The 27,091-nt window shown below is 42.4% G+C and overlaps 1 protein-coding gene across 2 annotated transcripts in view, besides 1 other annotated feature; it reads right to left on the bottom strand.

Annotated features, from left to right (window-relative positions):
• The window catches only part of CD38 (CD38 molecule), a 74,905-nt gene that overhangs the window by 44,361 nt on the left and 3,453 nt on the right, over window positions 1-27,091 (bottom strand). The window lies entirely within an intron of this gene.
• Window positions 16,361-17,042: an enhancer, noted in NCBI's record as "NANOG-H3K27ac hESC enhancer chr4:15793453-15794134 (GRCh37/hg19 assembly coordinates)". NCBI's record gives its function as "activates a minimal SCP1, AML or CMV promoter by ChIP-STARR-seq in primed H9 embryonic stem cells {active_cell/tissue: H9 hESC(primed)}" and the evidence as "EXISTENCE:reporter gene assay evidence [ECO:0000049][PMID:30033119]".

Raw genomic sequence — 27,091 nt, 5'->3', positions numbered from 1 at the left:
ATTTTTAGAGAAAGAAAAGCTTTTCTTGAATAGCTCTTTTTCCAGAGCCACCTACTCAGCCACCATGATGGAACCAAATAGTTACCGTAGGGCCAGGCAAGGCTAATGCAATCAAGCAAACAAATCTGAAAGTAATTCATAACATCATTTTGAACTGTTCAACTATAATTCCTTCATCCTAAGACCTTAAAACCAGGGCATCTTCAATGCTTCTCTGTCCAAAAAACACTAGGAGAAATCACCCCACACTGATCAATCCATGTTGTAAGAATAGCTATCCCTGGACTAGTATAGAGTGGTTTTGTGACCTTCTATTCTCCTTCTTATAGTCTCAATTTTTCTGCGATAAGCATAAATTACAATGGGGGTCATAACAAAAATTTGATTTTCTTGTTAAATTGCCTGGGCAACTATACCAAATGTTGGAGAATCTTGGAGGGTCTTAGGAAATGGAAACATCTCAGGTCCAAGCACCCTTGGTGGTCACCTGTTATTTTTGTGCCTCTCCCAGGTCTCTTGGTCACAATGTATCCTTTCGCATCCCTCATCCAGATAAAGACCACACTGTGTAACAGGTAAGACAGTGTTGGTGCCCCAGACCCATGTGCTGAGGTCTAATGATGTGAAATGTGGGGTGGGGAGGGAGGCTAGGACTACAGACCTCTTCCAATAGAGCTTTCTCCCCAAACACTTCCTTGCATCCTTAAGCAAAATTGGATACCTAGTCACAAGAATCACAGAACACACCCAGAATCACACTACAAATAATGTCAGGGAGACAGGTAATAAAGAGTCTCAAGCAAAGCAAGGAGAGAATGGCACAACCTGCAAAGCCCCACTGGTCCTGCCTTCCTTCCTGCATGAGACATATGCTTTCAGGCCCAGAAGAATGAATAAAGTCACTAAGTGAGGTTTCGTGGGGTTCCTCACACAGTCAAAGGGATCTAAGGGATGAAGTCTCCAATTTATTCCATAGAGAATTGTACAGCTTACATGATCTTCCAGGGAATCATGCCTCACGGATTCTGGATTTAGTTTTCAGAAATAATCCTTTAATCAAGGACATCCTGCTAAGGGTATTCTAGAGATGGAGCTCTTTGTTTTAGCAAATATTTTCAGTCTATCTGCATAGAGCTCCAATAGAAAAGGAGATCAGACCAGCTCATCTGCCTTCCTCTGGTTCCCTCAAGAGCACTCCTCTCCTCAAATTGAGTAAAGTGATCCCAGTCTAGCTGCTTTAGCTCCTTCCTTCTGGGACCTCACATGCACAGGCTGTATTGTATGTGGAGATGTTGATAATGACAAAGCAGTGCAGCCCCCCCTGACACTCAGGAGCTGGCCTGGCCCCCACAGTTGGGCCTTAGTGTCCTTCAGCTGAGCATAATCAACTCCATGGGACACCAGCATCAGACAAGGCCACTGTGTACGTGGCCTATCACCATGATAGACCATGATGTGAACACAAGCAAAAATAGCATCCAAACCATAAAGTAATAGCCAAACATCCTTTTATCATAGCTGATAGGAGTGACTGCCACTTCTTTACTTATTACAGCTTCAGCCTTCTCATTCTTCCAGCCCAGTAGAGGAAATTTATTTAAACATCCTACCACAGACTTACTACCATCCCACTACTTCCTGGCAGCATCCAGGAAAAGCCAGTCTCCTTGAACCTTTCCCCCAAATCTCCTAAAACAAGCCCAAATCCTCAGTAAGTCCTTTCTAACGTCATCGGATAAAACCTGCCCCACCCTCATGAGTCTCTACGCTGAGTGTCCTCCCTTCTTGCAGAGAGCAACAAACCCACCTTTTTCAATTACAGTGTGTTCCTGGTGGTCTTAGGTTGTGGGGGCATTGACAATAACAAACAATCTTGAAGGTGATATTAAAGAATCAAAGGGATTATGACAATTGGACTGCCATAATCAGTGTTTATGCTTGGCCAAAGCTCCGTGATCAGCTTCTGAACAAGACAACTAACCCACTGATGAAAGTTTACCTAGAAGGCTGGAGAAGCCTCGATCTGTTAGCAGTTTTCTGCTCACCTCCGCAAACGGTGACCTGAGGCTCAACACAGCATAGGATGGGCACAAATGTCAAGATTCAAGGTCAATGGCATGTTTTCCCTTTCCTACCATTCTGCTCCTGCCAATAGATCCCAGACCTCTCACTCACCCTATCGCCCTGTACATCATTCCGTCGAGTTCACCTCCCACCACTTTCTTCTGCCTTCTCTGACCTACCCAAGGTGGATTGACTCCAGGTGCTCAGAGGGAGGAGGCAGCACTACCAGGAGAAAGGGATAGTCATGATCACCAAAGAGCATTCACCACCTGCCACTGTGCCAAGTACCTGCCATTTAAATCTCATACTAGTCCATGGGCGGGGTATTAGCATCTTCCCTGTTTTAGAAATAAAGAGACTAAAGCGTTATCACCTTGTCCAAGTGGCAGAGCTGCCTCACATGCCAAACTGTGTTCTTTTTGCAAAGCAATGCTGCCTCCCACAGGAAATTTACAACCATGGCCCTACCCACAGAATAGGATTGGTTCTAACAGAAATGAGGATCTGAGACCCCAAGAGGAGTTCTCATTTCCCTAGATGGTACAAAAGGGTCAGGACCAGAATAGGGCACAGTTATTCCCCAGTGCTGGGGTAAAGTGAGTCAGATAAGAGGGCACGGGGCAGGAAGACATGAAAACACAGATATATTTGGTGGTTAAATCCAATTTGTCTGCGGTCAGCCTACTTCAGGTGTCACAGCTCTGTGCTAGCACCTCTCTCTAAACCTATACCATTCTCACAAAGAGCAACTATGTTTCAAAGTCCCCATCAATTAAGCAATATCACCTTCATAATGTGTCCCTCTCCAGGAAAACTCTCACCCCCTAAATCCTCTTGCCTAAAAGCACTCAGATCTTGCAGGGTAATTACACTCGTCCTTTAAATTTTACAGCTGTCAGTTCCCATAGGGCAGGCTGTCTGGGCTCAAAGAAAACAAGCAGGTTAACTCAGCTATTAATTCTCAAATTTGAGGCTACCAGAACCTGTGTTGAAGGTAAAGACTGCCACCTTGTGGGAGAAGTGAGTGACTGGTGAGAGTCACTGAGACAATTAGGATTATCTAAGTAGAATCTTACAATCAGAAAACTCTTCAGGCTGAAGGAAAGCTTAGAAATCATTAATTCATCAACCTAGCAAATATTTATTGAGCAAATACTAGGTGCTAGAAACACTTGTGAGCACTTAGGGTACATCAGTGAACAAAACACAGGTCTCTGTTCTTCTAGGAGTTTACATTTTACTGGAACAAAGACGGACAATAAACAATAAACATAATGAATATGTAAGTTATAAAGCATGCTAGAAATTTATGAGTTCTATGAGAAAAAAATGTAAAATAGACTAGAATGAATGTCAAGAGTGAGGGGGGAGGAGGTGTTAGTGATATTAAATAGGGTGGCATTAAATACGGTGGACAGTTGACATTAAATAGGGTGGACATATTTGAGTAAAGAATTGAAGGAAGCGAGGACTTAGCTCCACAAACATCCCAGGAACATTCTAGGCAGAAGGAATAAGCGTCACAAGCCATATTAGAAAAAAGTTAACAAACTGGACCTTAACTAGATTTTTTTAAAACTTTGTTTTTTAAAAGTTTTTAAAAGTTTCCATTAAAGAAAATGGAAAGGTAAGTCATAAAATGAAAGAAAATATTTTTAGTACACATCTGAAAATGGACTTCTTTTCAGAATATATAAGCTTCCTACGAGTCAATAATAAGATCAAAAAAACTAATTTTTCTTATCACTTTTAAATGACATGTAATTGCACATATTTATGGGGTGAAGTGACATTTCAATACGTGCATACAATGCATAATGATCGAATCTGTGTAATTGGCATATCCATTATCTCAAAGGTTTATCATTTCTTTGTGCTGGTAATGTACAAAATTTTCTCCTCTCAGTACTTGAAAATATACAATAAGTTATTGTTCACTATAGTCACCCTACAATGCTATAGAACACTAAAACTAAAACTTATTTCCTCTATCCATATATATAATTTTGTATTCATTGATCAATCTCTGTCTCCCTACCCTTCTCAGCTTCTAGTAACCACTATTCTACTCTCTACTTCTCTGAGATCAACTTTTTTAGCTCCCACATGTAAGTGAGAATATATGAAACTTGTCTTTCTGTGCCTGGCTTATATCACTTAACATAATGTCCTCCAGGCTCATCCATGTTGCCACCAATGATAGGATTTCATTCTCTTTTATGGCTGCATTCCATTGTCTATATATCCCACATTTTCTTTATCTCTTCATCTGTTGATAGACACTTCGGTGGATTCCATATCTTCATTATTATAAATGAAACTACAGTAAAGATGGGAGTGCAGGTATCTCTTCGACATATGATTTTATTTTCTTTGGATATAGGTCCAGTAGCGAGATTACTGGATCATATGGTAGTTCTATTTTTAGCCTGTTAAGGAACTTCCACACTGCTTTCCATAATAGCTGTACTAATTTACATTCCTACCAACAATGTGTGAGAATTTTCTTTGTCGCTTATACACTGTTGGTGGGAATGTAAATTAGTTCAACCGCTGTGAATATCACTTTGGAGATTTCTTAAAGAACTATTAATAAAAACTGAATTACCATTCAACCCAGAAATCCCACTACTGGGTATATGGCCCACAGGAAAATAAATTGTTCTACCAAAAAAAAGACATGCACTTATATGTTCATTACAGCACTATTCACAGTAGCAAAGACATGGAATCAACCTAGATGCCCAATAATGGCAGATTGGATAAAGAAAATGTGGTGGTATGTATACACCATGGAATACCATGCAGCCACAAAAAGAAGAATGAAATCATGTATTTTGCAGCAACATGAATGCAGCTGGAGGCCATTATCCTAAACAAGTTAACGCAGAAACAGAAAACCAAATACTACATTTCTCACTTATAAGTGGGAGCTAAACATTGGGTACGCATGGACATAAAAATAGGAATGCTAGGCACTGGGGAGTATAAGAGGAGGGAGGGAAGGAGGAAGGAAGGGTTGCAAAACCACATATTGGGTACTATGCTCACCACCTGGGAGATGGGTTCAATCATATTCTGAAACCTCAACATCATGCAATACACCTGCACATGTAACCCCTGAATCTAAAGTAAAAGCTGAAATGTTTTAAGTTTCCTTTTATCTGCATTCTTGCTAGCTTTGTTATTTTTTCTTCTTTTTGATGATAGCCATTCTAGCTGGCGTGAGATAATATCTCACTGTGATTTTGATTTGCATTTCCCTAATCATTAGTCACATAGAGCACTGTTTCAAATACTTAGTGGCCATTTTATGTCTTCTTTTGAGAAACGTCTGTTCAGATCAATTGCCGATTTTAAAAATCAGATTATTTGGCTTTTTGCTGTTAAGTTCCTTGTATATTCTAGATATTAATTCCTTGTCAGAGAAACCGTTTGCAAATATTTTATCCCATTCTGTAGTTTGTCACATGACTCTGTTGATTGTTTACTTTGCTGCACAGAAATGTTTAGTTTGATGTAATCCCATTAGTCTATTTTTGCCTTTGTTGACTGTGTTTTGGAGGTCTTATCCATAAAATCTTTGCTCAGAACATTTTCCTTATGTTTTCTCTTAGTAGTTTCATAATTTGGGGTCTTACACTTAAGTCTTTGATTCGTTTTGAGTTACTTTTTTATATTATGATAGATGGGGCTCTAGTTTCATTCTTCTGCATATGAATATCCAGTTTCCCCAGCAATATTTATTGAAAAAGGTGTCCTTTCTTCAGTTTATGTTCTTAGTGCTGTTGCAGAAAATCAATAGGCCATAAATATGTGAATTTATTTCTGGGTTCTCTATTCTGTTCCATTGATTTATGTGTTGCTTTAATGCCAATACAATGCTGTTTTACTATAGTATTATATTTTAAAGTAAAGTAGTGTGATCCCTCCAGTTCTTTTTGCTCAGAATTGCTTTGGCTTGGCTAGGAGCAGAGGCTCATGCCTGTAATACCAGCACTTTGGGAGGCTGAGGCAGGTGGATCACTTGAGGTCAGGAGTTTGAGACCAGCCTGGCCAACATGGTGAAACCCTATCTCTACTAAAAATAGGGCATGGTAGTGCATGTCTGTAATTCTAGCTACTGAGGTGGCTGAAGCAGGAGAATTGCTTGAACCCAGGAGGGAGAGATTGCAGTGAGCTGAGATCATGCAACTGCACTCCAACCTGTGTGACAGAGGGAGACTGTCTCAAAAATAAAATGAAATGAAGTGAAATAAAATAAAATAAAATAAAATAAAATAAAATAAAATAAAATAAAATAAAATAAAATAAAACAAACAATTGCTTTGGCTATTTGGGGTCTTTTATGGTTCCTAACAAATTTAAGAATCTTTTTTTCCATTTCTGTGAAAAATGCCATTGAAAATTCGATAGAGATTGCACTGAATCTGTAGATTCCTTTGGGTAGTATGGAATCTTAACAATATTAATTTTTCCAATCCATGAACATGGGATATCTATCCAATTTTTTATGTCCTCTTCAATTTCTTTTATTAGTGTTCTGTAGTCTTTATTCTAGAGATCTTTCACCTCTTTGGTTAAATTTACTCCTAGGTGGAGGTTTTTTTTGGGGGGTAGCTATTGTAAGTGGGGTTCCTTTTACAGATAGTTTATTATTGGTGTATAGAAATGCTACTGATTTTTGTATGTTGATTTTGTATCTCACAACTTTACTGAATTTGTATATCAATTCTAAGAGTTTTTTGGTGGAGTCTTTAGATTTTTCTGTAGGTAAGAGGATGTCATCTGCAAACATGGTCAATTTGACTTATTCCTTCCAAATTTGGATGTCTTTTATTTCTTTCTGTTGCCTAATTGCTCTGGCTAGAACTTCCAGTACTATGTGGAATCAGAGTAGTGAGGGTAAGCATCCTTATCTTGTTCCAGTTTTTAGAGAAAAAACTTCCAACATTTCCCTGTTTGGTACAATATTAGCTGTGGATTTGTCATATATGGCCTTTATTAAGATGAAGTGTGTTCCTTCTTCTAAACCTAATTGTTTGAGAGTTTTTATCATGGAGGGATGTTGAATTTTATCAACTGTTTTTCTGCATCTATTGTGGTGATCATATGATTTTTGTCCTTCATTCCGTTGATGGGATGTATTATGTTTGTTGATTTGCATATGTTGAACCACTCTTGCATCCCTGGAATGAATCCCACCTGGTTTTAGTAAATAAACTTATTAATGTGCTGTTGGATTCAGTTTGCTAGTATTTTGTTGAGGAACTTTCCATTTATGTTCATCAGGGATACTGGCCTGCAAAATTCTTTTTTTGTTGTTGTATCCTTGTCTGGTTTTGTATCAGGTTAATTCTGGCCTTATAGAATGAGTTTGGAAGAATTCTCTTCCCTTCAATTTTTTGGAATAGTTTGAGAAGAATTGGTAGTTATTTTTCAAAGTTTGGTAGAATCCAGCAGTAAAGCCATCCAGTCCTGAGCTTTTTTTTTTAATTGGGAAACTTTTTATTGTTGTTTAATAAAAATTATTATTGAGGTTCCTCAATAATTGTTATTGGTCTATTCGGATTTTGTATCTCATCCTGGTTCAATCTTGGTAGGTTGTAGGTGCCCAGAAATTTATCCATCTCCTCTGGGCTTTCCAATTTATTGGTGTTCATAATAGTCTCTTACGATCCTTTATATTTTTGTGGTATCAATTGTAACATCTCCTTTTTCATTTATTTGGTTCTTCCCTCTTTTTTCTTAGTTAGTCTAGGTAATGCTTAGTCAATTTTTTTTAAAAAACAACTTTTCATTTTGTTGATCTTTTGTATTACTTTTCCAACCTATTTCATTTATTTCTGTTCTGATCTTTATTATTTACTTCCTTCTACTAATTTGGAGTTTGGGGGTTTTGTTGTTGTTGTTTTGCTTTTATAGTTTCCTGAGGTTCACTGTTAAGTTGTTTTAAATCTTTCTACTTTTTTGACGTAGGCAATCATTACTATGAACTTTCCTCCTAGTACTGCTTTTACTGTATTCCATAGATTTTGGTATGTTGTGTATCAATTTTTATTTGTTAGACATGTTTTCATCATTTTCAGTAAGTTTTTTTATTTTTCTTAATTTCTTCATTGACCCATTGGTCATTCTGGAGTATGTTGCTTAATTTCCAAGTATTTGTACAAAACAAAAACCCTAATTTTTAAAGATGGGCAAAAGATTTGAACACATACTTCAAAAAGCCTATGAGATGATCCTCAGCATCATTAGTCATGGGGGAAATGCAAACTATAACCACCATAAAATAACACTATAAATTTTTAGATGGCTAAAATTTAAAAGTCTGACAATACCAAATGTTAACAAGGACGTAGAACAACTAGAATATTCACACACTGATGCTACACATGTAAAACTATACAATTGCCTTATAAAACAGTTTGGTGGTTTCTCAAAAAGCTAATCAACTTATGTACCATATGGCTCTGCTATTCTATTTCTGGGTGTTCACTCAAGAGAAATAAAACAGTATGTGTAAGAATTAAAGAAAGAGGAAAAAAAACACGAAAGGTGGCTTGCCAGTTAAGACAGGTTTATTTTAGAGAAAACGAACCTGTGAGGAGCTTTTGGCTGAGCTAGGTCAACAGCACACTCTCTTACAGACTAAGAGTTTTTAAGGATTTAGGATAGGAGAGTTTATTAGAGGCTTGGACTGCTTTTGTGTTTTTTGTTGTGCTTATTTTGGAGGGAGAGTTGTGTGTCTGTTTTTATACATTTTTCTGCAGCTGCAGGCATACCCCCCGAGTCTGCTTTTAGCTTCCCTATTTTAGTGCACCTGAAGGGAAAATAATGTGTTTATTAACGCCCACTGTTTTACTGGGGCCCACTGTATGAGGGTGAAGTGTGGCAGTTACCCAAGAGACTTTTCTCCCTCCTCCCTCTGTGCCTGAGCTGTTTTATCTGTGGTTTACTGTTTGCTCTTTCTGGCTACTTGTAGTTAGAAGAGAAGTGATTTCCCTGAGATGCATGAGGCTAAAAATGGAGCTGGAACTTAAAGTGGCAGTGTTTGTCCAAGAGGACTGTGCTCCTGCTCTGTCAGTATGTCCATACAATAACTTGTACACTAATGTTCATAGAACCTCTATTCATTGTATCCAAAAAGTGACTACAAGCCAAATGTCTATCAATAGATAAATAAACAAATTGTGATATATACACACAATAGACCCAATAATAAAAAGGAACAAGCTATTAATACATACAACATGGATGAATCACAAAAACATCATGACAAAGACATACAACTCAGACACAAAAGAGTAAATGATATGTATTCCATTTATATAAACTTCTTAAAAATGTAAATTTATCTCCCGTAACAGAAAGCAGACATGTTCTATTGGATATCAAAGCATTAGTAATTTAAACAACGTGGCAGTGGTATAGCGACAAACAGACCATAAAACAGATTGGAGAGTCCAGAAATAAACTGACATACATAAAGAAACACAAGATGCAACAGAAGTGGCATCAGAAAACCCTCGATAAAGGATGGATTATTTGATAAACAGCACTTACACAACTGACTATCCATCTGGGGAAAAATGAAATGGGCTTCCTAATTTCACCACACACAAAGATAAATTCCAAGTGGATCAAAGATCTAACTATGAAAAGCAAAAGTTTAACATTTTTAGAATATTTATAACCCTTTTGTGATCTCACATTAAAGAAATCAGTTCTTAAATAAGATACAAAAGGCACAACCCTAAAAGAAAACATAAATTTGATCATATTTAAATCTTTAGTAAATAAGGGACGTGATAAATATAGTGTCAAGAGTTAAGCCATAGACTGGGAGACTTTATTTGCAATCCACATAACTGACAGAAGATTAGAATCCTGAATGTGTAGAGACAATTCAACATAAGAACAAGCAAAAGACAGAAATAGGCTTTTCACAGAAGAAACCTGAATGACAAATAAACACATAAAAAGATAATTACTTATGTTAATGATCAGGGAATTAAAAAAATAAAACAACAAGGAAATGGGCATTTTTTAAATTTGAGAATTCCGAATGATGACGAGGATGAATAGCAATGAGGACTTTACACCAATTTTGTGAAAATAAAGTGATACAACAAATTTGGTGACCATTTGGCCATATGCAACGTGGCAGACGCCGTTGGTTCCGTACTCTCCAGAAGATTTCTTTTACCCTTCTTTCCTATTGGCAAAGCATGTCTCCTATTATGATTCAAAATATCAAATTCTCACTTCTCAAGCCTCTTTTATACCTTTGGGTAACCGTGTGGCCCAATTCTGGCCAGTGAAATTTAAGGAGAAGCCTAGAGAGGGTTGAAAGAGGGCTGCTGGGAAATATGTTACTTTGGGATGAAAAGAGACTTGAAATGGGGGTGTGCTCTTGCCCCTCTCCCTGCCCTCTGTTCCAGGTATATGAGGACATAATGCAGCAATCTTGTGACAAGAAGCTGAAAGCCACTCAAGGGAGATGGAAGAGTGGAAGGAAAGAGCCTCGGCCATCACTGTGCTGCTGAACCGATCCTATGACCACCCCACTTCTGGATGTCTTGTTATGTGTGTCAACAACATTTTAAAGTGGCCAGGCTCTGTGGCTCATGCCTGTAATCCCAGCACTTTGGGAGGCCAAGGTGGAAGGATTGCTTGAGGCCAGGATTTTGAGACCAGCCTGGGCAACACAGTCAGAACTCATCTCTATAAAACATTTGTTTAAAATTTACAATATATTTTAAACCTTTTCAGTTGAATGTTCTGTTAGTTGCAGCCAAAAACATCTTAACTGGTATACCTGTTGTTATTGATTGAATTTTACCCCCCCAAACGATGTTGAAATCCTAACACCCAGTACCTCAGAAAATGACCTTATTTGGAAATAAGGTTTTACAGATGATCAAGTTAAGATGAGATCATTAGGGTAAGCCCTAATCCCATACGACTGGGTCCTTATGAAAAGGGGAAATTTGGGCATAGAGACAAACACAAACACAAACAGAGAGAAGACAATATGAAGACACTGGGACAACACCATCAACAAGACAAGGAACACCTGAGGTTACTAGAAGCTTGGAAGAGGGCACGAAGCAGATTCTCTCTCACACCTTCAGAAGGCACCGACCCTTCTGACACCTTGATTTTAGACTTCCAGCCTCCAGAACTGTGAGACAGTACAATGCTATTGTTGAAGCCACCCGGCTTGTAGTACTTTATCACGGCAGCTGCAGCACACTAGCATACCCAGTAAAGGTGAAGATGGCATACCTGCCACACCTCAGAACTTTAGTCATTCTACCTTAGTCATTCTATTAAACACACTGGGAAAAAATCATATGCGCAAGTAGACATGTATGCTTTAGCATTGTTTATGCCCACAAAAACTGACAAAAAAGATAACAGACTAATTAACAAGTAGATAATAATAAATAAATGAGTAGTATGGTCATTCAATAGGATACTATATAGCACTTAAAATTGCAGAACCAGAGTTTATATATTAGCATGGGTAAATCTCAAAAGTAATGTCATTAAAATCACAAAAATATATTGTTAGGTAGAAAAGTAAAATTCACTCTACAGGGCAAAAACACATAGTAAATGCAAATAAAGATTAAACTGAGGTAACGTTCCCTTATCAGACCAGCAAAAATCAGAAAATTTGAAGATACTCTGGGTAGTATGGGTATGGGGAAATAGGAGTTCTCATTACCTCAAGAAGATAATTGCCTTGTGAAGAGAAGTTCGACAATTTTTTCAAAATTAAGTAGCATATGCTTTAACTTAGCAATTCTACTTCCAGAATTATATCTTATACACACATCCACGTATGTATACATACAGAAGGATTTCATTGCAGCATTGTCTGTAATGTTGCCAAAGGTTTAAAACAATCGAAACGTTCATAGATACAAGTCCAAAGTATAGTAAATTTGTAAAGTGGAATCTATATAATTATTAGAATGAAACAAAGCTACACTGATCATCAAGATACATTGTAGAATGAAAAAAACTAAGACACGGAAGAGATACTATGTGTGGAAAAATATATGGATATATGCTTATATATGCAGAGAATATTTCTAAAAAGATACAAGAGAAGCAAGTAGCAGTATTTGCCTCTGAGACAGGAGAAAAGAAAATCGGCGGAAAGAGTATTTCGATTTTATTTGTAACATGTTATTTCTTTAAAAACTAGAAAAAAGATGTAAAACAAATATGGCAAATTTTTATTGTCTATTAACTCCATGTGGTGGGTAAATGGGTATTTGTACTACTATTCCATGAACATTTCAGTGTATTTAAAATGTTAATAATTTAATTTTTAATTTTTAAATGGAAAAATTGAGAGGAGATATTGACTGAGAAACATTGAAGGAGGATATGAGGATATTGAAGGAAGAAAAGGAGTTCCCTCAAGTAGGAAAAATGAAGAAAGCCAGACCTGGGAAACACAAAGTATACAGTTTTCAGAGATAAACAAATTAATATATTCAGATCCTGGGGTTCAAAACTACCTTTGAAAAAATTTTATCTGGAAGTATTAACACATAAAAGCAGGACCCCAAAACGTGAACAACTAACTAAATCTTACATTTTTTTTGTGGTTTTAAATCTCTCTCAGTTTCAGCAAGGTGTTTTCAGTCCTTCTTTGCCTTTATTAAGAATTCCCATGGAGATTTAATTACTGCCAACTTAGACAACGTTAGAGATAATTTAACTCATAAACTATCTCTTTTAGGAACCAAGATAATCAATGAAGCAGTTTTATTCAGAATTTCACAATATTTCATCTATGAAGTGCCAAATTCACAAATAACTTTATAATATTTGCTTGATAGTCATAAGATAAAATGAACATTTGGACAATATCAAGGCAAATATGGATCATGGCCAGAGAAAAATATGCCGTCGGAAATTTATAATGTCTCTTCAAATCAAACTTTGCTAATTGCTTCAAAACATCCAAAGACCAAAAATGTAGAATAACTGTCTACTATGTGGATGCAGCATGTTTGATACATTCTAGCAGGGAGTAGACAACTGAGCTTAGCAATTTTTTAAAACATCGTATAATAGAAAAAAAATTAATTGTAACTGTAAGACTACTTATGCTGAGGCCGTCCACTTAAGCAGGTATATATCTTCCTTTTGTGGATCTCCTTATTTATTTTTTTAAATCGTGGGTTTCTCCGCTATTTAGAATTCTACTTGGGGGCTTAAGCGATTTTACATTCTTTTCTATATTTTTGTATTCATCCAAATATTCTTCAATGGGCATGTTTTACTTTTATAATTTTTAAAAAAGAAGAGTTATTAGAGGGAACAAGAATGTTAGCATCTTGCTACATTTACTCTTTAAATTTCTGACCTCAGTTTTCACCTTTTTGGTCTTTAAATAGAAGATTCTTATCCTCTATTTCCAGAGTAGACATTTGCTGGTAATATTTTGCTGAAAAAAAGGTAATCTCCTATTCCCTATTAAGATCAACTACAAAAATCTGTGAATATAACCATTCCTCCCCTTTCAGCCCTTTTCTGTGAAATACACACACACACACACACGAAACTAATTCTTGATTTCATCTATTGTTGAGTTTCCTGTTTTTTCTCAGCATCTTACATCCATTTTTTCCCACCACCCCCTTATTCAAGAAAACTGTCTTTGTGGTTTTCTGACCTAATCTATTACTAAGAGTTTCCTTTAATGGAAGAATAATGCCTAGCCAATTCTAAATGTACTTATTGTCTCAAAAAATTCAACTGATACCTATTTAACTGACTCACTATACTAATCAACACTATTCATTCCCTCTATAAAAGCAAGTTTTCTGTCTTCTACACAGCTAATAAACTACTCTTTTGCACACCTGAGAATTTTTGTTTCTATCTACTTTGTTATTTATTTACCTATTTATAAACATGTTCGTGCTTGTGGTTTTTACTTATATAATGTAATGAAATTGTGCACAAAATTGAATAAGTAGAAAAAGAAAAACCATTTTTTTCCTATGAAAACTAAGTTTCATGTTTTGGAAAACATCCAGCCACTACTTCACTTGTATTTCTGTTCTCCTGGCCAGCAAAACCTCTTGCAAGAGTTGTCTGTGCACAACAATCTCTAATTCCTCTCTCTTCTGTTTTTTTCTTGAATTTGTTCCACATAAGCTTTCATCACTACCACTCCTCCCAAACTGACCTTGCCAAGTCACCGATCCATTGGTCAATTTCCAATCTTCATCTTACTTGGCCAATCAGAATCACTTGAACAAGCTGATTATACCCCCTCTTTCTGAAATGTTTTCTTTCCTTGTGTCTGTATACGCTGTTGATTTCCAAATTTATATCTCCAGCCCAGACCTCTCTCCAGGACCCCCATATTCATATGAACCAGTCTTCTGGTCAACATCTCCACTAAAACAGTAGTCTCCCTTATCTGCCAGGGTTATGTTCCAACCCCCTCAGTGATGCCTGAAACTGCAGATAGTACTAAACCCTATGTATATGTACTGCTTTTTCAATCTGATAACTGAGATGGACACTAAGCAAGTAGCCATCCACTTGCTTAGGCAAGTAACAGGCAGGTACAACATGCAGCATGGATATGCTGGACAAAGGGATGATTCACATCCAGGGCAGAAGACAGCAGGACATCATGAGATTTCATCACGCTACTCAGAAGAGTGCTCAATTTAAAACTTACGAGTTGTTTAATTCTGGAATATTCCATTTAATATTTTCAGACTGTGGCTGGCCATGGATAAGTGAAACTGCAGAAAGTGAAACCCTAGATAAGGGAGGGTTACTGAATGTGGAAAACTGAGCTGCTGTTTCCTTCCCAACTTGCTTTACCACAGTCTTTCTCTTTCTGATAAATGGAAATTCATTTTTTCAGTACCTCTGCCCCAAAATCTTGGAAGCATTGTTGTTTCTTCTTTTTCTCTCACATTCCATATATTAGCCCATGGCAAATCACATGGAACCTACTTTCAAAACATATCCAGAATCCACCCACTTCTCAACATCATCCATCACCATCCAAGCCAAAATCAAATCTTATCTGAATCACTAAAGAGCTTCCAGATGGCTTCCAGGCTGATGTCCTTGTCCTGCTACCATCTGTTCTCAATGCAGCAGCCAGAGAGATCCTTTAATTAAGGTATCAAACACTGGTACATAGTATTTTGACTACACATCACTAGTGGGATAAGTCCTGTGTCCCAAGGACCAAAAGAATCACAGAGAAAACTTACATCATTCAGTAGACGTTTCATTAGCAATAATATATATGCACATATGTATATATAAAACAATTATATACAACATATATATGGGAAGTAAATACATAATTATATTAATGTCATTGAGAACTAAGATTTTCAGTGTAAAAGAGAAACAAGCATAAAATTAACATGTTAAATAAAAACTTTGTTCCCTTTACTTTGAAATGAAATTATCAATATGAGCTCATACTTTGTCTCTTTCTCAAAATGGATATATTTTCTAGCATTGGATACTAAAAAAATCAGAAAGTTATGAAAAACACAGTAGCAAGCAGAAGTACTGGAGAGAGGTCTGGGTTGGAGATATAAATTTGGAAGCCAACAGTGTGTACAGACTCAAGGGAAGAAAACGTTTCAGAAAGAGGGGGTGTAATCAGCTCGTTCAAGTGATTCTGATTGGCCAAGCTGTCAGTCAACAGATAATAAAGGGAATAGAGGAGGATTTTAAATAACACCACAAGGATGTAATTGGCCAAACCCAGAAGGTGGGAAATTCTACAAGATGAATTGCCCAGTCTGTTTAATAAATTAATATGCACTCTTAAATGGGGGAGGGAAATGGTTGTAAATTAAAGGAAATTTAAGATACATATATTTTTAATGCAATGTGCAAATCTTGATTAGAACAAATCAATTATAAAACTACATTTTAAAGAAAATCATGGAAAATTAAACTTCTGATCGATATTGGATGATATGAAAAATTACTCAGTTGTGTCAGGTAGGATGATGGTATGATAGTTGTGTTTTTTAATGTTCTTTTTAGAGTTACAGACTGAAAGATTTAGAGATACAGACTGAAAGATTTACAGACAAAATTATACAAACTCTGGAATTCGCTTTAAAGTACACTTTTTTTTTAATGGGTAAATAGATGAAATAAGAACAGCAGAATGTTGATAGTTGTTGAAGTTGGGTAATGGGTAAGTAGGGGTTAATTGTATTATTAGCCCTAGTTTTACATATCTTTGAAATTTTCCATAAGAGAACATTCCAAACACACTGGCTGGCTTGCTGCTTTTCTTTTCTTTTCTTTTTTTTTCTTGATTCATTCCTTTTTTTTATTTTATTTTATTTTTATTGATCATTCTTGGGTGTTTCTCGCAGAGGGGGATTTGGCAGGGTCATAGGACAATAGTGGAGGGAAGGTCAGCAGATAAACAAGTGAACAAAGGTCTCTGGTTTTCCTAGGCAGAGGACCCTGCGGCCTTCCGCAGTGTTTGTGTCCCTGGGTACTTGAGATTAGGGAGTGGTGATGACTCTTAACGAGCATGCTGCCTTCAAGCATCTGTTTAACAAAGCACATCTTGCACCGCCCTTAATCCATTTAACCCTGAGTGGACACAGCACATGTTTCAGAGAGCACAGGGTTGGGGATAAGGTCACAGATCAACAGGATCCCAAGGCAGAAGAATTTTTCTTAGTACAGAACAAAATGAAAAGTCTCCCATGTCTACTTCTATCCACACAGACCCGGCAACCATCCGATTTCTCAATTTTTTCCCCACCCTTCCCGCCTTTCTATTCCACAAAACCGCCATTGTCATCATGGCCCATCCCCAATGAGCCGCTGGGCACACCTCCCAGACGGGGTCCTGGCCGGGCAGAGGGGCTCCTCACTTCCCAGTAGGGGCGGCCGGGCAGAGGCGCCCCTCACCTCCTGGATAGGGCGGCTGGCCGGGCGGGGGGCTGACCCTCCCACCTCCCTCCCGGACGGGGCGGCTGGCCGGGCAGAGGGATCCTCACTTCCCAGTAGGGGCGGCCGGGCAGAGGCGCCCCTCACCTCCCGGACGGGGCGGCTGGCCAGGCGGGGGGCTGATCCCCCCACCTCCCTCCCGGACGGGGCGGCTGGCCGGGCAGGGGGCTGACCCCCCCACCTCCCTCCCGGACGGGGCGGCTGGCCGGGCGGGGGGCTGACCCCCCCACCTCCCTCCCGGACGGGGCGGCTGGCCGGGCGGGGGGCTGATCCCCCCACCTCCCTCCCGGACTGGGCGGCTGGCCGGGCGGGGGGCTGACCCCCCCCCACCTCCCTCCCGGACGGGGCGGCTGGCCGGGCAGAGGGGTCCTCACTTCCCAGTACGGGCGGACGGGCAGAGGCGCCCCTCACCTCCCGGACGGGGCGGCCGGCCGGGCGGGGGGCTGACCCCCACCACCTCCCTCCCGGACGGGGCGGCTGGCCGGGCAGGGGGCTGACCCCCCCTCCCCCCTCCCGGACGGGGTGGCTGGCCGGGCAGAGGGGCTCCTCACTTCCCAGTACGGGCGGCCGGGCAGAGGCGCCCCTCACCTCCCGGACTGGGCGGCTGGCCGGGCGGGGGGCTGACCCCCCCACCTCCCTCCCGGACGGGGCGGCTGGCCGGGCAGAGGGGCTCCTCACTTCCCAGTAGGGGCGGCCGGGCAGAGGAGCCCCTCACCTCCCGGACGGGGCAGCTGGCCGGGCGGGGGGCTGACCCCCCCCCACCTCCCTCCCGGACGGGGTGGCTGCCGGGCGGAGACGCTCCTCACTTCCCAGACGGGGTGGCCGCCGGACGGAGGGGCTCCTCACTTCTCAGACGGGGCGGTTGCCAGGCAGAGGGTCTCCTCACCTCTCAGACGGGGCGGCCGGGCAGAGACACTCCTCACCTCCCAGACAGGGTTGCGGCCCAGCAGAGGCGCTCCTCACATCCCAGACAGGGCGGCGGGGCAGAGGTGCTCCCCACATCTCAGACGATGGGCGGCCGGGCAGAGACGCTCCTCACTTCCTAGATGGGATGGCGGCGGGGAAGAGGCGCTCCTCGCCTCCTAGATGGGATGGCGGCCGGGCAGAGACGCTCCTCACCCTCCAGACTGGGCAGCCAGGCAGAGAGGCTCCTCATATCCCAGACGATGGGGGGCCAGGCAGAGACGCTCCTCACTTCCCAGACGGGGTGGCGGCCGGGCAGAGGCTGCAATCTCGGCACTTTGGGGGGCCAAGGCAGGCGGCTGGGAGGTGGAGGTTGTAGCGAGCCGAGATCACGCCACTGCACTCCAGCCTGGGCACCACCGAGCACCGAGTGAACGAGACTCCGTCCGCAATCCCGGCACCTCGGGAGGCCGAGGCCGGCGGATCACTCGCGGTCAGGAGCTGGAGACCAGCCCGGCCAACACAGCAAAACCCCGTCTCCACCAAAAAAAAAAAACGAAAACCAGTCAGGCGTGGCGGCGTGCGCAGGCACTCGGCAGGCTGAGGCAGGAGAATCAGGCAGGGAGGTTGCAGTGAGCCGAGATGGCAGCAGTACCGTCCAGCTTTGGCTCGGCATCAGAGGGAGACCGTGGAAGGAGACCGTGGAGAGAGAGGGAGAGGGAGGGGGAGGGGGAGGGAGAGGGGGAGAGGGAGAGGGAGAGGGAGAGGGAGAGGGAGAGGGAGAGGGAGAGGGAGAGCGGCTTGCTGCTTTTCAAGGCCTTTGCACATGCTGTTCCTTTTACCTAGGATGTTCTCCCCAGATATTTCTATGTTTCACTCTCCCTCTTTCTTTAGGTCTTTGCTAAGAGGACACCTTCCAGTAAAGCCTCCTGTTTTAGTCATTTTCTGTTGCTTATAGCAGAATACCTGAAGCTGGGTAATTTATTTTAAAAATGAATTTATTCCTTAAAGTTATGGAGGCCAAAAAGTCCAAGGTTTAGGGGACACATCTGGTGACAGCCTTCTTGCTTACCAGAACTCCGCAGAGTCCTGAGGCAGGACAGGGCATCACACGGTGAGGAGGGTGAGCATGCTAGCTCAAGTCCCTTTTCCTCTCCTTGTAAAGCCTGCCATTTCATTCCAAGGATAACCCATTGATCCATTAACCCATTAGCGTATTAATCAGTAATCCATGAATGGATTAATCCATTCATGAGGGCAGATCTCTCATGACCCAGTCACCTCCTAAAGGGCCAATCTCTCATCCTGCCACTTCTGGGATTACATTTCAAACATGAGTTTTGGAGGGGACAAATGTGCAAACCATAGCATCTTCTTTACTTTAGGTTTCCATACCTAAAAAAGAAATCCCCAAAGTTTATGGCTTTTTATCGCCCTGAGAAACTAACCACTTTTAAATGTACTCGGTGCCTCAAGATGTTCTTTGAACTGAGTTTATCATCTTGCTGATTCCTTCATAAATGAGTAAGTTGTAAACACTACACAGCACTCTTTTTAATACTTTCCACCATCTGCCATACTATGTATTTTTCTGTTTCAATGTCTGTCTCCCCTACTAGAATATAAGTTCCATGTGAGCAAGAATTTCATCTGTTTTGTTTACTGCTATATCTCCAGGATCTAAAAGAGTTTCTGGGACATCATAGGAGCTCAATACATATTTATTGAATAGATATCTTACAAAAATACCTAAAACGTGGAAATAAGGCAAAAAGATGGGCAGCATGTCTTTTCAGAGTCACACTGGGGTACTGTTTGCCAGGTTTACCAAGAATTACTTAATTATCTGGTAAAACATATATTTGTCTTTTCTATTTACCATTCATTAATAACTCTATGAAGTTTTATTCGAACCTTATGAAGTTAGATGGTAACTTGGAGATCTTTTCTGTTAAGTATGCAAATAATTTCTGTCTGATAAAAAAGAAATCCCCAACGTTTATAGCTTTTTATTGCCCTGAGAAACATTAACCAGTTTTATATCTACTCAGAGCCTCAAAATATTCTCTGAACTAAGTTTGTCATTTTGCTGATTCCTTCATAAATGAGTAAATCAATCTTTGATGTGTGTTGATTCTGCATGCTATGAAAGCCACGCTCTTACCTTTTTGAAAACTGATGTTAAATTGTGATGAGCTGGGCAAATTCAGCTGTTACTCTTGCCTATTCACTATTCGGGGTCCTGATTCTGATGTGTGTTTACACAGCACACACCTACCCCCGTGCAACAAGTCTGTTCTTCATCAGCAGAGAACACTCAGATGCACCCCACCTCCCATCAGATTCATCCAAGCTAAGCAGCCCCAGGACCTTGACTCTCTTCATCTGGCTTCTCATCCTGCCTCCCCTCTGTTTGGGGACCTGCGCTCATATGTCAGTCACTTTTTTTTAAAGTAAGCTCCCAGGACTGAAGGTGCATGGAATGATGATGGGATCTTCCTGGGGGCGGATAACGTGTCAGGTTTCCCTGTTTCGGCTGACAAACAACATGTTTCTAATGCAGAATCACAAGGAAATGTCACCTCTCAGAGCAACTCCAACCAATTGGTAGCATCTCCATGGTGCACTGGGTGGAAGATTCTGAGGCTGAACCAGGCTCATCCAATATGCTCTGAACAATCAGCAATGCCCATCATGGGCACAGTACTAGGAGTGCCAGGTGCATGCTGCATACTTCCTGACCCAGCTCTAAGAAGTGATTGTTAAGGTGAGATCAAATATAGGAGATCAGTCAGAGTAGTGGGAGAACCGATAGGGAAAGAAGAAGACCTTTTGAAAGGTCAGAAGGCTCTGCAAAGCTTCGGGGGAGAATAAGCTGAAGGCAGCTGTTCTCTTACCCTGACGCAGAGGGCGAGGAGTGGGTACAAGGGAATGTAGGGGAGTTTGTCTAAATAAGCTTGTTTACTTCCGGAAACCAACCTTTCATCATCCTCTGGCGAGACTGCTCCCTGCACGGCGGAACAACAATGTTAATTACCCACAGACTGCGTTGGCTCCAGGCTTTCGGCATTATGTCTGTACTGAATAAAAGTGAGCAGCTCCAGTTTATTGAGACTGCTGACTCTTCGGCAGTCCCCTAGCCGCTCTTTCACTGCGTACCTGTGTCTGAGTACTCCTTTCATCTGTCGCTCAGCCAGGGTCTGCAGGGCAGACCCGGCAATTAAACCACAAGGAACACGTCCTGGCAACCAGGAGAGGACGTGGCATTCTGCCGCTTTACCTACAAAGATTCGTAATCATTCCTGAAGTACAAAGACAAGGCGTCGTGACTCCCTAAAAGGAGGCCAGTGACCCTGAAGCCTCAGGACTCACCTTTGAGGTCTACAGAAAAATGAGCAGACACCCTGTCCCTGCAAGTATCCCTGTGCCCAAGAGGGCTCAACATTAAATAGCAACCAAACACCAGCATGGCAGGTGGAGGAAGAGACCCTGGAAGAAAGGAAAAGCTGTTTCCTGCTTTTTGAAAAATGAGCCCCACATTTTCATTCTGTACTAGGCTCCATAAATTACATAGCCAGAGTGACTATAGAATATCACCAAATTACTTAATCTCTCTCAGGGTCCATTTCCCCAACCCTAATGAGAGGAGACAACGTGCTGGTGGCCCTCGCTCGCTCTCAGTGCCCCCCGGCCTCTGCGCGCCCACTCTGGCCGTGCTTGAGGAGCCCTTCAGCCCACAGCTGCACTGTGGGAGACCCTCTCTGGGCTGGCCCAGGCCGGAGTCGGCTCCCTCTGCTTGAGCGGAGGTGTAGAGAGAGAGGCGCTCGTGGGCCAGCGCGAGTTCCAGGTGGGCGTGGGCTCCCCAGGCCGCACTCTGAGCGGCCGGCGAGCGCAGCAGGCCCCGGACAGTGAAGGGCTTAGCACCCAGGCCAGCAGCTGTGGAGGGTGTGCCAAGTCCCCCAGCAGTGCTGGCCCACTGGCGCTGCGCTCCAATTCTTGCTGGGCCTCAGCTGCCTCCCCGCGGGGCAGGGCTTGGGACCTGTAGCCCACCATGCCTGAGCCTCCCCCCACCCTCCCTGCCGTGGGCTCCTGTGCCGCTGGAGCCTCCCCGACGAGCACCGCGCCCTGCTCCCTGGCGTCCCATCCACCGTCCAAGGGCTGAGGAGTGCGGGTGCATAGCAGGTGACTGGCAGGCAGCTCCGCCTGCTGACTTGGTGCACAATCGGCTAGGTGAAGCCAGCTGGGCTTCTGAGTCTAGTGGGGACTTGGAGAACATTTATGTCTAGCTAAGGGATTGTAAATACACCAATCAGCACTCTGTGTCTGGCTCAAGGTTTGTAAACGGACCAATCAGCACCCTGTGTCTAGCTCAAGGTTTGTAAATGCACCAATCAGTGCTCTGTGTCTAGCTAATCTACTAGGGACTTAGAGAATCTTTATGTCTAGCTAAGGGATTGTAAATACACCAATCAGCACTCTATGTCTAGCTCAAGGTTTGTAAACACACCAATCAGCACTTTGTGTCTAGCTCAAGGTTTGTAAATGCACCAATCAGCACCCTGTCAAAACGGACCAATCAGCTCTCTGTAAAACAGACCAATCAGCCCTCTGTAAAATGAACCAATCAGCAGGATGTGGGTGGGGCCAGATAAGGGAATAAAAGCAGGCTGGGGGGAGCCAACACTGGCAACCCATTGGCGTCCCGTTCTACACTTCTACACTGGGGAAGCTTTGTTCTTTTGCTCTTTGCAATAAATCTTGCTGCTGCTCACTCTTTGGGTCCACAGTGCTTTTATGAGCTGTAACACTCACCACGAAAGTCTGCAGCTTAACTCCTGAGCACAGTGAGACCATGAACCCACCAGGAGGAACGAACAACTCCAGATGGGAGGAACGAACAACTCCAGACGCGCTGCCTTAAGAGCTGTAACACTCACCGTGAAGGTCTGCAGCTTCACTCCTGAAGCCAGCGAGACCACGAGCCCACCAGAAGGAAGAAACTCCGAACATGTCCAACACCAGAAGGAACAAACTCTGGACACACCACCTTTAAGAACTGTAACACTCACCACGAGGGTCCACAGCTTCATTCTTGAAGTTAGTGAGACCAAGAACCCACGAATTCCGGACCCACTAAGATGTGATTGCTGGAACTTTCCTGACAGGATTCAGAGAAAGTTTAAAAAGAACCAACTATGTAGTTTCCAGCACATTGCAGGCAACCTGTAAACATTGATTCCCAACTTTTTTCCCTCCAAAATATCTAAACTGACATTTGGCAGCTGTTTTTCAAGAGTCCTAAGACAAAGAAGAAAGGAAGAAGCAGAGAAGCCATGAGTGTTTATTGTGATAAAAAAAAAAAGAAAAGGAACGTTCTCCAGGCTGAACACCACCACTGCTTGCAGAGCTATTATGACACCAGAACAAGGAGCAAGTGTGTGTTTTGAGCAGTGGGTTCCACTGACCTTGCTGGGAACAGTGTCTGAAGCAAAACACAAGGCCAAAAGGTATAGAAATAGGTATCTTCTTCTCCCTCTCCTGATATCTGTTGTTTCCCACTGAGCCTTTTCATCCACTCTGGGGGCTTCCAAACAGCCTTTGCTTCAAGAAGATTCTATTCCCTGGCTGTATTCTCCCTGATACCCTGGTAGCACCCCAAGCTCCCAGAATTAGCTAATTTGCGTAAGTACTCCACTCTACCCTTCCTTCCACAGGTAACTGAGACCTATAGTCTCACTTCCCCATTTGTAACTATAGCAGCACCCAGGCCCCACACCTGGAAGGCCTGTTTCACTTCCCCTTCCACATTCAATCTGTCTCAGGTGCACCTGAGATTTTTTTTTTTTAAGACAGAGTCTTGCTCTGTCACCCAGGCTGGAGTGTAGTGGCGTGAGCTCAGCTCATTGCAACCTCCGCCTCCCAGGTTCAAGCGATTCTCCTGCCTCAGCCTCCTGAGTAGCTGGGACTACAGGTGCACGCAACCACACCCGGCTAATTTTTGTATTTTTAGTAGAGACGGGGTTTCACCATGTTTGCCAGGATGGTCTCAATCCCCTGACCTCGTCATCCACCCACGTCAGCCTCCCAAAATGCTGGGATTACAGGTGTGAGCCACCGTGCCTCGCCTGCACCTAAGATTCTTAGAACCCCAGAACAAAAGGTAGGACTGAAGGAAGCCTTCAATCATAACACTAAGCATTAAGAAGACACAGGTAAGCATGAAGCTTTCCAGCACTCTACTGAATCTCATGGTCTCAGTGAGGACACTGATGTTGAGCAGGTGGTCATTCCATCACTCCAGGGGAAAAACATGCTGGAATTCTGTCCTGTGCAAAATGGTCACCCTCATAGTCTCTTGTGTGCTGAGAAGGTCCAGCTGTGGACAGACCAAGAGGAAGTCCAGACCCTCTCACCAGCAGAATCCTCCCCAAGATCCCCAAACCTTTAAGGGTTTAGTCAATCAATTGGCCAATCTTCCCTGGCAGTAGCATCTTACCTGACCGCCAGGATTTTCTCAGCAGGGTAACACACACTCTCCAGAGCACCCTCTTGTTGAAATTCTACCTTTAAAGGAAGACCTGAAATGCTATTTCTTTCTTAAAGTGCTTCCTGACTCTGCCCCACCACATGGGGCACGTCTGCATCTCCATGGCATTGTGCTGGTACTCCACTCACATATTCAGCAATTCACATAGTCTTTCTTGTTTGATAGGGGTACATTTCTTACATCCCTGCAGAATCTAGCGCAGCACTAACTGCACAGAAGCAATGGCTCCTTCCTCAGTGACCTCTTGGCTGTGTACAGGCCTCTTTTTCATTACAGATCACATGGTGTTGCGTTGCTCTGTTCCCAGGTTGGTCCTCCGCATACCTCCCACTGCAGGATCCTGGAGATCAATGCTTGTGTTTCTTCATTTGTGAATCTCCCATGTCTCACCCTAGCATTAGGCAGACAGCTAAGTCTTTGCTAAGTGTTTGCATAAATTTGCTGTTTTGCTCATGTTGTACTAACAAGTTTTGCTGAGTAGACCCTGAGAAAATCCTACAGTCATTAAAATGGGAGGCATGGGGAAGTAAAAATGGAGAATTGGCTCCCAAGAAATCCTGCCAGAAATTTTGAAGAGGAAGTTAAATAAAAAAGAAATCGACATGAACATGAATCAGAAAAGATGGTCCTTGTGGGCACAGAAGTGATCATTAGAACGTAAGGTAAGACAGATGAAAGATTTTCTCTGATTAAGTCTCCCACAATTTCTACTTATGTTCAACCAGCATGATGTGGACTCAAGGCAGCTCAATATAGCAAGCTTCTATTAAGAGACTGTTAGGTGATAAGCAATGTGTTAGACAACTGGAGATGCAGAAGTGAATAAAATAGTCCTTCCCCACAGGGCCCCCACCTTGTCTTGGGGCAGGGATAAGGGGAGCTCTCAGAAATGCCTGCTCCCATCCCTGCATGCTTGCCTAGACCACCAGCAGTCTGCAGCTATCGTCAGTACCTGCAATCACCATCATCCATGGAGAGGGCTGGTTTTCACCCAGGTGAGATTAGTGGAACTGAAGTTACACTCTCTGGATATCTTCCTAAATTCCCAGCTTCCCCTAGGTGCTGGCTCTCCATTCCCTCCTGCAGGCCCCACCCCACCCCTGACATCACCTGGGTCCGTCCTGACTATCACCAGACACTGGGCTCCCTCCCACAGTACCGAGATGCTGTCAGCTCTGACAGTCAGCAAACGCTTTGTTGAGTCTTGGCCATGTGTATTTCAGGTCTCATGTGCCCAGAGACATCTTGGTCAGAAGGCAGCTCTTGTGTGTGGCCCTTGAGACAGCAGAACCAGAGGTGATCTGTTCAGGAATATTCCGCATGTAATGCCCCTGGTTCAACTCAAAGAACCAACCTGGTAACGCCAAGAACAAGCTTCAATACTCACCTACCCACACTAAAAAACTTGCAGAAAGTGAGTTTCTCTGGAGACCCTTACTACTATACTGTGGCACTATTACTAAGACTGTGTGACAGGCAGGAGAGGGGAGTTCTAAAGGAGACTGTTAGTGCAGGCAAGATGGACTTGGGAGAAATTGTTGAGAGATGTTTGGAAAAGGACAACCAAGGAAAAGGAACAGTGAGGAAGATAAAGTGCTACAACCTCTAAAGAAATACTAAGGACCTACTACACAAAGGAAAAATTAACAGTTTCTATGCTCAAGACAGAAATTGAGGGTTTGGGGAGTAATGGTATTAGGTCGTTCACTGGGGAAGTATATTTATTACAACTTTGTTTATGTTATTTTTAATACCCTGGCTTATATACCATTCATTTAATTCAGCTAAATATTTAATGACTATTGTATTTCAGGCACTATTCTAGGTCCTCAAGATATATCATTAAACAAAAGTCCCTAGGCTCAAGAAGACATTCCAGGAGGCATGTATTAGATTTTTATCATCTTAAAAGCTAATTGATAAAAGGTAATAAAATAAGTGTAAGAGAAGGACAAAAGAAAGACCAGAAGAAAATGAAAACAGAAAAGCTAACAAATCCAGATGTAAAGGGTAAAAACTGTCTACATTATTTTTGCTACTTCCTCCATGGAGGGGTGGAGTTTGTTTCTCCTTCTTTTGAATCTGGGCTGGTCCGGTGATTGTTTTAACCTATAGAATCTGTGGAAGGGAAGCTGTGCCAGTTGTGGATCTGAAGCTTTGAGTGGGCTTGCCAGGCTCCACTTTTGAGAGTTTAGAAACCTTGAAGAAATTCACCTCCACCAGGGAGAGACCATATGGAGAGGCCACATGGATAGAGAGAGGCCGTGTGGCAACACAGAGAGGAAGGGAGGCCTGACCAGCCCAGCTGAGCCCAGGAGCCATCGTGTTAAGTGGGACATCTTGGATGTTCCTGCCAAGACAATGTTGCAGATGCCTACACCCCCAGCTGACACCAAGTGAAACAGGCCACTCAGCTGATCCCAGTCAAACCACAGAACCATGGCAGACAATAAATGATTGTTGTTTTAAGTCACTAAATTTTAGGGTGGTTGTTTATTATGCAGCAACTGATGACCAAAACAGAAAGTGATACTTGGAAGTGAGGTCTTGTGTAACAAAACCTTAAAACATGTA

The sequence above is a fragment of the Homo sapiens genome, chromosome 4 (genome assembly GCF_000001405.40).
Source record: "Homo sapiens chromosome 4, GRCh38.p14 Primary Assembly".
NCBI classification, from domain to species: domain Eukaryota; kingdom Metazoa; phylum Chordata; class Mammalia; order Primates; family Hominidae; genus Homo; species Homo sapiens.
This window is presented reverse-complemented; position numbering and strand designations above follow the sequence as displayed.